Here is a 15,481-nt window from a genome sequence, read left to right as displayed (position 1 = left end):
CAAGGGTACATATTGTAAGAGAAAAGGTATGCAATGGTTTTTCAAAATGGTAGAATGAAAGTCACTATATAAAAAAATAAGTACATTATAGAGATAGTAAAATGGAAATAATTCATTGTAATGAAAATAAAAAATCAAGCTTCTGCCATAATTAGTATCCTAAAACATGTTATGTAATTCAACAAGCTACAGAATAACCGTTGACATGCTAAGTTCCATACATACTTGACTTTCCACTTGAAATAATTTCTTCTTTGGGACCTGTGTCTCATCCAAATTAATGTGATAATGTGATATACTTCCAGTGGAGACTCTAACATAGTTAATTTTTTTAGGCTGTCAGCTGCTTCTTGCTGAAGTTGTCTCACAACCACCTGAGAAAATAGTTTTGTTACTGATTTTATAAATTGCCTTATTATTAAATTATGTTAATAATATTTAACTCTAACATACGTACTTTGAAAATTATCACCACACATATCGATTCACCTTCTTTTAATCACATGTACACATTTTTATTTATTACTGAATTCAGTGAGGGATGCACAATATGTTCTCTTCCTGCCAAATTGGTATTCTCTTACTTACATAACAGATTCATCCCACCATTCAATCATCTTAGAAGCTCAACTCAACCTCAAAGTTCCTCACATATTCAATCACCTGTTCAAATCCTTCCAACAGATTCCTATCTCAGAATAAAAGTAAAATTCCAATGGCCTTTGAGGTCCTAGGTAAACAGGTCTCTACCTCCCTCTCTGACTTCAAAGCTCCTACAACTCCCTCCTGTAATTACTCCATTCCCACTGTACGTGAAGCCTGCCACCCCTCAGTCTGAAAATAGGGATCTAATGCCTTATTCATAAATCACAGGCAGCTACAAGTATCTTTGTACTGAACAAAATTATATTCCAATGATAGCCATTGAGCCTTGAAATAAAAATTAGGAGCTAATTATTAATATAAATATTCAAAGTAAACTATAAATACCAGTGGGAAGACTAAACCAAATATACTTTTGCTAAATATTACCACATGTATCCTAAATTATGATTTTATAACAAGTAGGTGCCTTTAAAACATTACATAGTCATAAAAATATGTAATTTGACATATTTTCAGATTTGTTAAATTAATATGATTAATAACAAAGATATACCAACTAAAATACATAAAAAGCTACTTAAAGCAAGGTATTACAAGACACAGCAATACACTTCAGTTCATCTGGGAAATCTAGAATTAAGTGTCAAAGAAAATCAATTAAATTTTAATTTGAAAATACTCATTTCAGGTGTAAACATTTCCATTTATACTTACATTATGGTCTTAACATGTGGCAACATAAAGTCATTAAAATTATTATTTCACCAGTACAGAACTATCTATCTTAAAATATGACTCTGTGCCTAATAAAATTTCATAGGTGACACAATGTCTTTTCTCAAAGTAAATCATCTCTCACCTCTACCTTTTATTTCCTAGAAATGGGGCACGTTTCTAAGCTGGTATAGTAAACACGGTTTTCCTTTTTTTTTATTAAAACAGCTTTGTTGAAATATAATTTACATACTATAGAATGTATCTGTTTTAACTTAAAGTTAAAAGATTTTTTAGTCCATTTACTGAGTTGTGCAGCCATCTCTACAATCCAACTTTACAGCATTTCCATCACTGCAAGATCCCTCACGCCCATTAGCAGTCACTACCAGCTTTCAGCCCCAGCCCTTTGCAAACATTAGTCTACTTTTTGTCCCTATACGTTTATCTTTTCTGGATGCTTCATGTAAATGGAATTATACAGTATGGTAAACACACTTTTTATCCATTGATTTTTATATTCAACTAAGTTCAACATGTATCCAGAACCAAATGTTTAAATTTTCTTTCTAAAAGTTTGAAAACATTTATCTTCCTTGATACTTACTACTCTTTCTGCTTTCTCTCTCTCATATTGAAAGAGACTTTCTTTTAAATGATCACATTCATTCATTAGCTTCTTATTTTTCTCTTCTAGCATGTGGTCTTTCTTTCCACTCTCAATAAAGCCTCTTTGGATATTAGTTACTATCTCTTTATGATCCTCTTTCTGATGAACATCATCTAGTTGCTGTTCAATGCACGGATTTTCATGTTGGAGTTGACATATCCTCTCTTCTACACAGCTCCACTTTCCAGTGGAATTATTCACTTTAGCTTCTGCATTTTCATACATCTCTTTCATTTCCTTTATTTGCTGCTGTGTTTGGCTTAGGTCGTTTGGAGAGTTTCTAAAGCCAATGACTTTTTTCTGAGAGTATCTCTTTACTTACGGAACTTATCTTTTAAGGTATTGAATTTAATTTGCTTTTTAGAAAGTTGTTCAGTAAGAAACTCATTCTTATCTTCTACTTCGGAAATATCAGAACTCATTTTTACTTGTAAGGAAACATCTTGTGTTCACTCTAATGCAAGTTTTAGGTTTCTTTCTGTTTTCACACTTTCACTGTGCTTACTTATAGCAGCAGTCAGTCTAGACTGATAATTCAATTTCAGCTTCCAGTCTTTTGTTGCTTTCTTCTTCCTTCAACAGTTCGGAATTGAGCCTTGTATACTCAGCTTTGAGATCATTAAGCTCTTGTTGATACCGGAATGCTGTTTTTGTTATCAATTCCTCATTGAGTTTTATATACTTTTCAAGGGCAGCATTTGTTTTTTTAACAATTTTAGCGTCCTTAAGATATTTATTTTCTTTTTCCAGGTGGTCATTTTTCATTGTGCATATTTCCTGTCGGAGTATAGCAATATCTGTCTTCAAAATGCAATTTTCATCCATCAGATCTTTCATTTCTTCCTGATTATGAAAATCCTAAATAAAACAAAAGAAAGTTTTAGCTAGTACTCAATAAAATATCATGATTACCTCTGAAGTTAAAGAATAACCTGCACATCCACATACTAAAAAGGTTACTGTAAGTGGATATCCAACTGGAGAAAAAGTTGAAGCAAAACTTTGTACTTTATAGAGCATAAGTTCCAAAAAGTTCAGAAATTTATTTAAAGTCAATGAATTTATAAAAGTAAACACACACACACACACGCACACCAGAGAATTTTTAAGAATTTCAGAATTGGAAAAGCCTTTCCCTGAATTACAACAAACTCAAAAGCATAAATTAAAGCATTAACAAATTTGACTAAATTAAAATATATCAAAAATTGCATTTACACTTTGATATCTAACCCATACACCACCCTATAGTAAGAACCTTATTTCACACATATTTGGACAGATAAAATTTCCCAGAGTTATTACAGTTCTGTTTCACTGATAACATTCTATTTTAATTTGACTCTTTTAACACTTTTATAGTCAGTTGAAAGAATTACATTTACTAAATCGTAAATCTAGACATTATACTAGTCACTCCTATATACATTCATTGATGAGCTCATCTAGTTACCACAAATTTGAAAAAGAAATGTTAAAAATATAAGCAAGCTACAGGATTTTCCCCAGGACTTCTTACTCTACTTCTAGTTCTCTGACAGATCACAGTTACTTCTGTGGTGTAAATGTATCAATACGAAAGAAAACTTTTATTTCAAAACACCAATGGTAAATAAGATAAAATTTATAGAGCTCTTCTTAGAATATCATGAGATTATTTGTGATTGCAATAATTTGTTTCCTCTTTATAGTATTAGGTACAGTAATCAATATGAAATGGCGGGAAGTACAAGGAACAATTTTACTGGGAACAAAATCTTTATCAATAGGTTATCACTAAGTATATATTATGGCATATTATTGTTTTCAAAAGCTCTTTGTAATAAAATAATATCCTATGTGGATGCCAAGATTTATAATAAAAATAATTGTACCTGTAAGTGTCATCATTCATTTTTTAAAAATGAGATAACATTTCTGGTTTGTTTTAGACCAAAATATTATATATTAAATCAAGAGGATATTATAAGTAACATTGATAAAATAAAGTTTAAAATATAGAATTTTTACCAAAGATTGATTTATCTGATTTGGAGTATTTCTTGTAGTCTTCGGTTTCATCTCTAGTGATTCAATAGTTGGTTCAAGTTGTTTTGCTTCAACTTCTTTCTTATATTGTTTCTCTTTCCTTTCTAATTCTTCTCTATTTTTTTGTACAGCATATTAACATTTGTTTTTTCTTCACTTTCTTGTCTTAAGATGCATCTGCAGACAAAGACATTTATCTTAAAATTCATTTTGTTAAAAAATAAAGAGATCATCCTGTGATCTACCTCTGCAGATGCTCTTTATCATCCTAGTAAAATTTCTGTTCTGGATTATTTTTCCTTTGTAGTTCTCAAATATTTAATTTCTCACTTCAACATCTTCAAACGAATGCATATACTTGAAAAGTAGTAAGGAAAGAATATTCTGCTAAAGTTTTTATTACTAGTCACTCTAGTATGTATTATACAAAAAGATACTGGAAATAATTCAGTATAGTTAGAAGTTCAAAACTACCTTTTCAAATCACACAGTCATAATTACTACCTGATTAGAAAAGGTCATTTACAATCAACTAAATTTTTAAAGTTACTATTTATTGACAAGCGTATAAGTTCACTAGAAATAAGTTTTCATCTCTATGAAATATTGCAGGTGTCTCTCCAAATGATTTACAGAGTAAGATGTCTCTCACACAAACTATATCTGCAGATTATTGTCATCTAAAACTAGGCTAAAGAGTCTAACATCTGTTACCCCACACTTTTTCTAATTCTTTCTTAATACTTCCAATTCACCTTCTTATTACATATATTTTATATATTTATTAAGCTATTGTTCATTATGTGTAATATATAATTAATGCCCTTAATAAGTGTGTGTATGTTTACACAAGTTATGTTTTCCTGTGAAATCTAGTCCCAGAAGTGGAGTTGTTGAGTTAAGGGGATGTCAGGTTATTTGAAATTTTGATAAACAGCACTAAGTTACCCTTCAGAAATAATTTACCAATTTCATATACCAACAGTGTATGAGAATGCCTTTTTCCTCTCATTTTCAATGGTAGGAATTACTTTTTCAATATCAGCATGACTTTACAAAATATATCTTATTTTATGTTAATTTGCATTTTTCTGATTACCAGGCAGGGCTAAATATCCCTGGTAAAACTATAAAACTTTTTAATCATAATGAACATTAGTCCGATTTTGAATTAGTTTATAGCACAATGACAATTATCTGCTGAGAAATACTGCTATAGGTGGCCAGGCACGGTGGCTCATTCCTGTAAACCCAGCACTTTGGGAGGCCGAGGTGGGCAGAACACCTGAGGTCAAGAGTTCGAGACAAGCCTGGATAACATGGTGAAACATCATTTCTACTAAAAATACAAGAAATTAGCTAGGCATGGTGGCACATGTCTGTAATCTCAGCTACTAGGGAGGCTGAGTCAAGAGAATCACTTGAACCCAGTATGCATAGGTTGCAGTGAGGTGAGAACACACCATTGCACTCCAGCTTGGGTAACAAGAGAGAAACTCCATCTCAAAAAAAAAAAAAAAAACTGCTATAGGCTTACTTACCTATCATGCTCTTCCTTCAGTTTCTTGGGAAATTGCTGAGGATACGTTTTCCCAATCTTTCTTTCTTTGGTTAATCTGTCAGCAGCAGCAGAAGATGTACTATGACATACATTTTCTGATAGTTGTATTTTTTCACTTTTGTTTGTATTATTTCCTTCTTTGACCTTTAATAAAAGTAATATGAACAATAATTATTATTTTATTCAATAAAAAAAACTTTTTCCCTGATTTTTTAACTTGATTCAGGTTAACTATCGCCATTTTAATGATAAAAATATTTTGTGCTTACTTTAATTTTATCATTATACATAATAATTATAAGATACTCATCATTTTATCATTGAAATTTTTGTCAAGTCTGCTCATTTCTGTTTGAGTGAATGGAAGAATTTTCCAAAATTTCAAAAAGGACTCTTCTCCATTTTGTGCTTTTATTCGCATCCACTCTTTGCTATCTGATATAAATGTTTATGCTAGTTGACTGGCAGAAACAGAGAAATAAAAAGACACAGGCATAACATATATCTTCTGTCATTGCCACATGGATTTTACATGAAATAGCCAGATTAAGAGGAAGTAACCTTGTAGGCCTTCAAGAACAGTAAAGAAGTTTTCCCTTTTCTGCACTGAGCTATTCTTTTCCCCACTGCCTTTTATCTCTTTTTATTTTTTTTTTGAATCCTGGGATATCAAAAAAGTGAAAGTTCTCCCTGAACTATGGGAACCAATGTTTGTTTGCCACAACACAAGAAGCAGAGTGAAACTGCTGAGTTTCTAGTGCAGAATTCTGGAAAACGAGATGCTTCCCAGATTTCACATTCAATTACCACAAATGTTTATAGGTGGAACACATATGGTACAGTTATCTACTTAAGCCATATTATCTACTGAAAACGGGAGTCAAACCAACCAAGACATATGAAATGTTTCATCCAGAGCTCTTGAGGCGGCATTCCCTAGCATTTCATGGCACCAAATAACATGATACATTTCCATGTTACTGAATTACATAAATTACCAGATAAATTTATCAAATTAGTCAGATATATTAAAAGTCTAACTTGAGCAAAGCAATTTAACACCTCAGAGGGTGGAAAAAGGCCTCATCTACTTTTACTTTGAAAGAAGAAAATCTCTAGATTTTTGTCTATCTTTAGAACACAGTGTACAGAACTCAACTTTCTACTAAAGAGTCAAAGGTTAAATTTTTAGCTAAGAAATTATGCTTCTTACATGATAAAAATCATACATGCCAAAACTTACCATACTTTATTAAACAACATAATGTAAGGTCTGATTCAACAGAAATATTGGAGTGGTGATTTTTTAAAATATGTGGAAGTATATATTTGTTTTCAAAATATTAGAAATAACCATGATGGAACTATAAATTCAAACAGTTTGAGCTAAGCAGATAAACTTGCATGCATGAAAACACATTAAACAGACTCATTTGGCTGGGAATATTCATTGCAACTCTCAAGGCTAGAAGTGTTTTTGTGGCTCATCTCAGTCATTGCTTCCCTCCCGTTGTATTCCCATTCTATCATTAAATAAATGTAATTCATCTCTAAATGACTATAGTAAAAAGAATCTAGAATCTAAAACTTATTTCTTTAGCAATTTCTTTATGTTGATCTGGTTCAGAAGGTCACATGGTATATGGCTGAATTAGTTTCCCAGCTCATATGCCACTTGGAAGACTGAGAGTGAGAATTAGGTTGATTAATGAACAAACATTATGAGAACATTCTCCAGAACCGTTGTTTAGATAGCAGGACTAGTCTACTTTGACACATAATTACACATTTAGAAAACCCCGCTGTAACTGTACACATGGGATTTTCTTGAATAGAAAATTTGACTAAATCAAATAATTGATAAAGAGAAAAAAGAAGCAGCAAGTGAACCTCTGTCTTTTTGAAGTTGGACTTTCTCTTTCTCCAAAGCCAGGAACTCTACTTGTAACATGCCTACCTCATTCTTTTTACTATTATTATACTTTAAATTCTGGTACATGTGCACAATGTGCAGGTTTGTTACATATGTATACATGTGCTATGTTAGTGACCTTGAAATATCTTGCTGTAAGTTTCTAGCTCTATTTTTGATGTTCTCTCACTATGTGGCAAAGAATAACCCGGATTTTATAATTCAAGATTCATGGTTTTGTAGTTATTAACACTGGGATTGTCATTCAGTGGCTTCTGGAATAAGCATTGTGTTGGCTTTCTGTTTTTATAAGTATCTGTAGCAGCAGAAATACTGTGGCTTTCTATCTGAATCATATGCTTCATTTCTTTGGGGAAGGTAAACCACAAATCAAAAAGACTTTCTGGATCTCTAGACTGAGACCAATGCCTAATGTCTAATTTCCAATTAGTGGTATTTGGGTTTATATATTTTTCCATTTGCATGTCAAACTCTTAATCATCTTTCATTTCAATCATAATTACTGGGTTCCTTACTTTTTCAGTTTCTATATCATAACAAAAATTTTCATCATCTGTGTTAGAAACAAGCTGTGTGTCTGGTTTGTTATCATTTTTATAGTCTGATTTATTTTAATTTAAATGAAGCTTAGAAGATGACTGGTAAGTGTATTTCAGGGACCTGGAGTGTGAATGGAATAAAAAGACATTTGACATGGGCTTCCTCTGTTCAGGCGCTGCCTGGACTGCCACAGAGCTAGACCCTCCAGATACATTTTTCTCCTCAAAATCAGGGACATGATTCATCAGACTAGAGGGCACTCCTTTTTTGTTCATCCCTCTTTAGAGTTACCATGTAGGAGCTCTTCCTCAGGGCAAGCAGTAATTTTGGAGTTTTCAGAACTTTTACCAATATTCAGCTTGAACTTGTTTGTAATGAATTTTAAAGAAAGTCATGAATATATAGATTGATTCCCCTTATCACTGTTCTTACCCAGTTCTGATTCTTGAGACTTTTTTTGGTGGAGGGCAGGTGCAAAATGGAAAACAAATTTGCTTGTTTTGTTTCTCAGATGTCTTTTCTGTCAGAGTGCATGTTTTAAAATTAGCTTTAATCAAGTATAAACAAAGAAATATTAGAAAATAATTAAAATTTAACTGTGAAACTTAATCTATGTGTTGCTACTCTTAAATTATAGGATTGTAACTAAAAAGTGAAAAATAATTTGCCTTGGCTTAACATAGGACAGAAACATGAACCAGCAAGCTGAACTCTCAGTGTCTGTTTGGACTAAACTTAATGCATTTGTGTAAAATCTACCAGAAATGAATTCAAAGATGATAGGTAGTATTATAAAAGCTTCCTCTCTTACAAAGACTTTACCTCAGCATACCAGAAAGAGTGAGCCCCTACAGTGCATGTTTATTTCTGAAGATTAACTAGAGCACTAGGCAAACACTAAATTATTAAGAGCTAAACTGAACACCAATAAGAAAGAGAAGCAAAATTTTAAATTCTAATTCAAATGATATACTATGATAGTGTTATGTATCTAGATAGAATTTCTGCTTATATCCACTTCTAATATATTTTAAGTTCCGGTAGTGATAGGGTTTGGATTTTTTAAATTTTAGTAATGTTTACTATGTATTTATGTTGAAATAAAGTTATTGTTCACACCCTGACACCAAAGATCCCATTCTGCAAGGTAGGATTCTCTTAATAGGCAACTGCATTGACTTTTATGACCCCATTCACTCCCTGAACACAGACACAGAAGTCAACTGGTGACCACAAAACAGAATAAATCTTTAACCTCGGCACTGGTGTCCAGAAATATAAAACTGCAACATTTGAAGCACTGGCAATGATGACTCCTTTAACACTAGTTTAACTCAGTGGCCATTGTTGTTAAACTGTTCATAATTTCTATTCCTCAGTAATATGACCCAATACTTCATGTTACCTTGTGTATTATGAGTAAGGTTATATAAATAAAACAGCAAGATAATTCTGAAAATTTCTTGCCTCAATTCCAAGGGTAAAGACAGCTATGAGTTACTAGAGATACTAAGAATTACTAGAATAACTAATAGTTACTAGAGATAGTAAGAATATCTTAAGTTTCATAACTGATTAAGATGTTTTAAAAATTACATATAAAATTATGATCTATTGGATTCTAAAGGTATAGTCTGAAAGGTCATGTCATTTGGACTATGCTTTGTTAGTAAAGCAAAAAAAAAAAACCTAATATTAAACAAGAACTTAAATTTTCATATACCTGTGATTGCTTCTTTTCACTTCTTTTGCACCTTTCTTGCTCTTCCTCTAAAGCCACTGGTAAGGTTTGTTCTGTTGACAAATTCATTGATTTAGTTCAAATGAACTAAGAAGAGTTAAAGACTATAATCTTTATAAAAATAAATAGAGAATAACATTTCTTTGTATTTTATATTTTGAGAGTTTGAATGAAACAATGTTTACTGAAATATTTACTTCTGTAAGAAATACTTCTAATTATCCAAAACTTCAACAAACCACTTGGGGAGACACCAGATATCACCAGATTCAAGCCATGCAAAATCTCAGGGTCACTCACAAATTGTTCCACCCAACATAAGTCAACAAAACTGTTAGAAACAAAACAGAAATTTGAAATACAGTCAAAATATACAATGTAATGCTTTACTATACTTCATAACAGTATCTTTTTAACAAGACACTAATTGAGTTGGCAGTTACTAATAATTTGCAAAATTATTGTTCTTTATACCTCAATTAGTGTGCACCCCATTTTTTACATCACAAATGTTTTCCCCTGCTATTCTGAAAAATTTATTTTCATCTTTTAAGACTCAGAAAGTAGGCTGGGCATAATAGCTCACATCTGTAATCCCAGCACTTTGGAAGACCAAAATGGGAGAATTGCTCAAGGCCAAGAGTTTAAGACCAGCCTGGGAACCATAGGTAACCTTGACTCTACAAAAAATTAGACAGGTATGGTGATATGTTCCTGTTGTCCCCGCTACTCAAGAAGCTTAGATGAGAAGATCCCTCGAGCCCAGGAGTCTGAGGTTTCAGTGAGTCTCAATCATGTCATTGCACTCCAATCCTGGGTGATAGAGTAAGAACTTGTCTCCAAAAAGAGGAAAAAAAAAAAAGGCTCAGAATGCTTTGTGAAATCTTCCTTGATTCTAGCTATCTTTCTCCACACACACAGGTGTCTGCTTCGTTGGGGTCCCTTAGTACCTTGTCAATTTTTCTAGTGTCACTTTACCACCTGACATGCACATCATGTCTTTACATGTTGACCCCTTTGCTGCTAGACTGTAGAGGACAATCTTTTGAATCATCTTTGTATAAACAGTCTTAATTTTGCTAAATAATTACTTATTGAGTTCCTGCTAAGTGTTAGGCACTGGGGAATAAGGAAGGAAAATAGAAGCTGTCGGGGATGGCTTTCCTAAAGATCATCCATGAGCTGAGACTTAGAGAGTGAGGTTAGCCAGATTAAGCGAGGCAGAGGGCAGGAAAGGGTGAGCACATGCCAGGCAGCAACAAGAGAAGACAAGAAGCCTCCAAGAGAGTATGTATTTCTCTGCAGAAGAGGAATGGTGAGGGGGCCATTACCAGCAGCTCGGTAATTCCAGAGAAAAAGGCAGATGGGGAAAGGGATACAGATGGAGATTTGGGCAGAAATCAGTTTCCTTTTCTTTTCTTTTTTGGAACAAGGTTATACTCTGTCTCCCAGACTGGAGGGCAGTGGCATGATCTCAGCTTACTGCAACCCGGCCTCCCAGGTTCAAGTAATTCTCCTGCCTCAGCCTCCTGAGTAGCTGAGATTACAGGTGCGTGCCACTACCACCTGCTAATTTTTGTATTTTATTAGAGATGGGGTTTCACCTTGTTGGCCAGGCTGGTCTTGAACTCCTGACCTCAAATGATCCACTTGCCTCAGCCTCCCAAAGTGCTGGGATCACAGACATGAGCCACCGTGCCCTACCCAGAAGTCAGTTTCTGAAATCCTTATATAAACCTTTAAGATGCTTGGACATTAGGTATTCAGGACCGGTTCACGGATCTATTTGCATTAGGGATAATTCACTCTAAATACTGTGAGGAGCATAAAATTCTGAGGCATATAAATCAATGAACAAAGATAAAATATAAGGCAATGTTGCAAAGATGATGCAGGCCTGAGGAGATGTTTTCAGAAATATTTAGGATATAGGTATCAGTGGCCATTATAAGAATGAATTTCTATTGAATAAATAAATGTATATATCTGGGTCCCTGGAGAAATACACTCTGCTCATTACTTTACAAATTTTATCAATCAAATGAGAAGTAAAATAATATACATAAACTCTTTCAGTTACTTGTATTTACTTTACCCTTTTTCTGTTTCAGTTTTACTGTGCCAAGGAAATGCATTTGGGTTTTGTGGTGGTTGTTGTGGTTGTGGTTGTGGTTGTTTTTGTTTTTTGAGATGGAATTTCACTCTTCCTGCCCAGTCTGAAGTGCAATGGTGTGATCTCAGCTCATGGCAACCTCTGCCTCCTGGGTTCAAGCGATTCTCCTGCCTCAGCCTCCCAAGTAGCTGGAATTACAGGCATGTGCCACCATGAACAGCTAATTTTGTGTTTTTAGTAGAGATGGGTTTCTCCATGTTGGTCAGGCTGGTCTCAAACTCCCAACCTCAGGTTATCTGCCCGCCTCAGCCTCCCAAAGTGCTGGGATTACAGGCACTAGCCACCGCACCCAGCAACATATGGTGATTTTGTTTTAAAAGTTCTGTTTCCTGGATCTACCAAGCTCATGAGAAAATAGAGCAAACAAGTCATTTGCATAGGTTAGAAACTTTGGATTTATAGCTTGTCCTCACTACTCTAGAAGATTATCATCATGTTTTGCAAAGCAAAATGTTAAACACAGACACAAGGGGAAAAAGAAATTAAAACTATAGGGGTGGGTGAAAAAATATTGCATAATTTATTACTGTTGACCTCATCATATGACTGATTAAGGGCACTGAATTTAACTTGGATGTGAAGTAGACCTCATATTAGCTGCAGTTAATCAGTAGACCAGGCGTCCTAGCAGAATTAAATTTGATGCTCCTGTGTTATCTTTAAATGACACAGCTTTTCTGAAAACCCTTACTCATAGCGCATGATTATCCATTAAGAAAAGGTGATGGAATATGTGAATACAGCGGAGGAGACACCACAAGGCAAATGCTCAGTGGTTCCCATTAATATTGGGAAAATCAACACTATAAAACAGAAAGCCATAGACATTATTTAATATTTGGTTTTGGGAGGTATTTTTAGTGACACTGCATACAGTTGTACCTAATAATTGCTAAATTAGAGACGTAAAAGTAAAACAAAGGCACATTGTGTTTGAGTAGGAAATCTATAGACATCTAGCTGGTTTTCCCATCCAGCCAAAAAATTCTAAATATAATCATGGTACCTGCACTCAAATTTATGTTAAATACCAACCTCAATAAAATCACTCTTTCTTCTCATTCTTTTTGTTATTTATATGTTGCTTTCCTTAAGGGAAGAATACAAATGCCTTGCTAAGAACCATTCTGTTTGGTTGTAGGCTGCATAAGGGGAGTGAACACAAAGTACATTTGACCACAAAATGACTCTTTAAAAGTCAGAACTACGGTAGCATGAAGCCAAACGAGGTAATCTACAATAAAATTTTCTATGCTTCTTTTCCTTCTTTGCTCTCTTTCTACTCTAATAACTGCGATTCACACAGGTAATGAAGAGTGTAATTCCTTGATAGAAACACAGCTCCAAGATTAATCCTTTCTTTAACTATGAAGTTCGCGTGTCCAAAATCTGTGGTAGTTGCTGTCTGATTTTTGATCACTGATGGTGATACAGATATTTATCATCAACTCACAACTTCCCAAATCTTTGAAAAGTCTTACTATTGATGGTTCAACTAGTAGAAACATGATGTAAAATATCTGAAAATAAAGTTTTTATTTATTAGAATGTAAATAATAATACAAATTGTAATAAGGTGTAAAAGTTCTTTCTTCACTGAAGCAGTACCATGTTGTCCTCTACCCCACAAATGCACTACTCCCCCGTGGTCTAATGTATTTTAAAAGTCTTGTAATTGCTATTAACTCAGACAAGTTTACTTAACTTGTTCTAAGCTTCTGGCATTTACTACAGTTTACTTTCAATCACTCAACCATCTCTGTTATATATGTTGTTTTCCATGAGAAATTTGTTTATTAGTAATTAAGATTCTTCAGGGATAAGAAAATATTTGAATAACTAAGTTTGTGCATAAACACATTAAGGTCAAATACCCATGACATTATTGTGTGTTTCTGTGTACTAGAGACAAAAACTTCAAAAAAAATTTAATGAATATACGTTAAATTAAAAACTGCTTTCATTAAACTGAGATAATCTTCCCTCAATGCATGAATACCTTCAGAATTCACATAGACCAAAGAATTGTATAAAATATAATAGCCTTAAAAATCTTATTTGTAGCTGGCACAGTGGCTCCCACCTGTAATCCCAGCACATTGGCAAGCCGAGGTGGGCAGATCACCTGAGGTCAGGAGTTCAAGAGCAGCCTGGCCAAACTGGTGAAACCCCATCTCTACTAAAAATAGAAAAATTAGCAGGGTATGGTAGCACGTGCATGTAGTATCAGCTACTCGAGGGGCTGAGGCAGGAGAATTGCTTGAACCCGAGAGGCAGAGGTGGTAATGAACCAAGACTGAGCCACTGCACTCCAGCCTTGGTGACAGAGCAAGACTCTGCCTCAAAAACACAAACAAACAAACAAAAAACCTAATTGTTCCCATATAAGTCTATGTTCATACAAGATCTGAAGAGTACACAACACCGTGAGACAGGACAGACATATATTTTAAAAGTTATATTCCTGGTTTCTGTAAAAATAAAATAGTTGAATTTAAGCTTTCAAGACAAGTCAACGAAAAGAGCAAAAAATGCAAAAGTGAAACTCGAAAGGTCATTTCCCCATCAAGGGCTCATGATCACTGGACATTCACAAACTATACTGTTCAAAACATTAGATCTGAATTTTGATCCGAGTATCCCTTTAGTAGCAGTTTCATTCAAGGATGTCCAAGAGGTAAAATAAGACAATATCATTTGCTATTTTCAGTTTTCTTTTCTGAGAACAGCCCAGCATTCTTCTTCAGAGAAATGAATTGTCCTAACTTCATAGGCTAAAGGCTCATGAGTCATAGTTCTAAGGGCATTAATAAAATATGGTGGTGCATGCTTGTATTCTGAACTTTTCAGGTTTAAACTCTCATATAGTAAATGCTAATAGATACAAACCGATTAAAGAAAAGCCCTCTTAATCTGACATTATTTTTCTTTTTATTTCTTCATTTATCAGCAACAGGAGAGTCTAACTAAATGTGGTAAAGTGGTATGAGGGAATACAATGAACAGTGTAAAATGAATTAAACCAGAGATAATCACACCAATGTGGGTACAAGTGGAAAGTATAATACAAAACACACCAAAGAAAGTGGCAGAAAGGTATATAAACTGTATAACCACTCACATACCATTTTAGGACACAAAAAATTCTGCATATTATTTCTGAGCATCACAATGTAGTTAAAGATTTCAAAAGGGCATTGAAATGAAAAACAACCAACTTATGATGTTGGTAGCCTCTATGCAATCATGTTTTAAAAACTTTAACACCAAAAAGGCTCAAAATCACCATTTTAAAAGGCTGTGTCTACCAGTCATAAATGAATCATTACTTTCATCATTTGTAGTAGTCAAAGATGCCACAAGCGCACGCATACACACATCTATATATACACCTACACACACAGTCTTACTCATTAGAACATCTGATAGGCTTCAGATCATCAGTGTAATAACACTAGCAGCAAGCCTCTGAAGTTAAAACAGAAACTGACACTTTAATAAGTAAAGCTTTCCTC

The 15,481-nt window shown here is 33.9% G+C and overlaps 1 pseudogene; it reads right to left on the bottom strand.

Moving 5' to 3' along the window:
• Positions 1 to 1,679: 1,679 nt before the first annotated feature.
• On the bottom strand, positions 1,680 to 5,727 carry ANKRD20A14P (ankyrin repeat domain 20 family member A14, pseudogene; annotated as a pseudogene).

Source organism: Homo sapiens, unplaced genomic scaffold, assembly GCF_000001405.40.
Source record: "Homo sapiens unplaced genomic scaffold, GRCh38.p14 Primary Assembly HSCHRUN_RANDOM_CTG42".
Lineage (NCBI taxonomy): Eukaryota > Metazoa > Chordata > Mammalia > Primates > Hominidae > Homo > Homo sapiens.
Note: the sequence above shows the minus strand (reverse complement) of the source record. Positions and strands in the feature narration are given on the sequence as shown.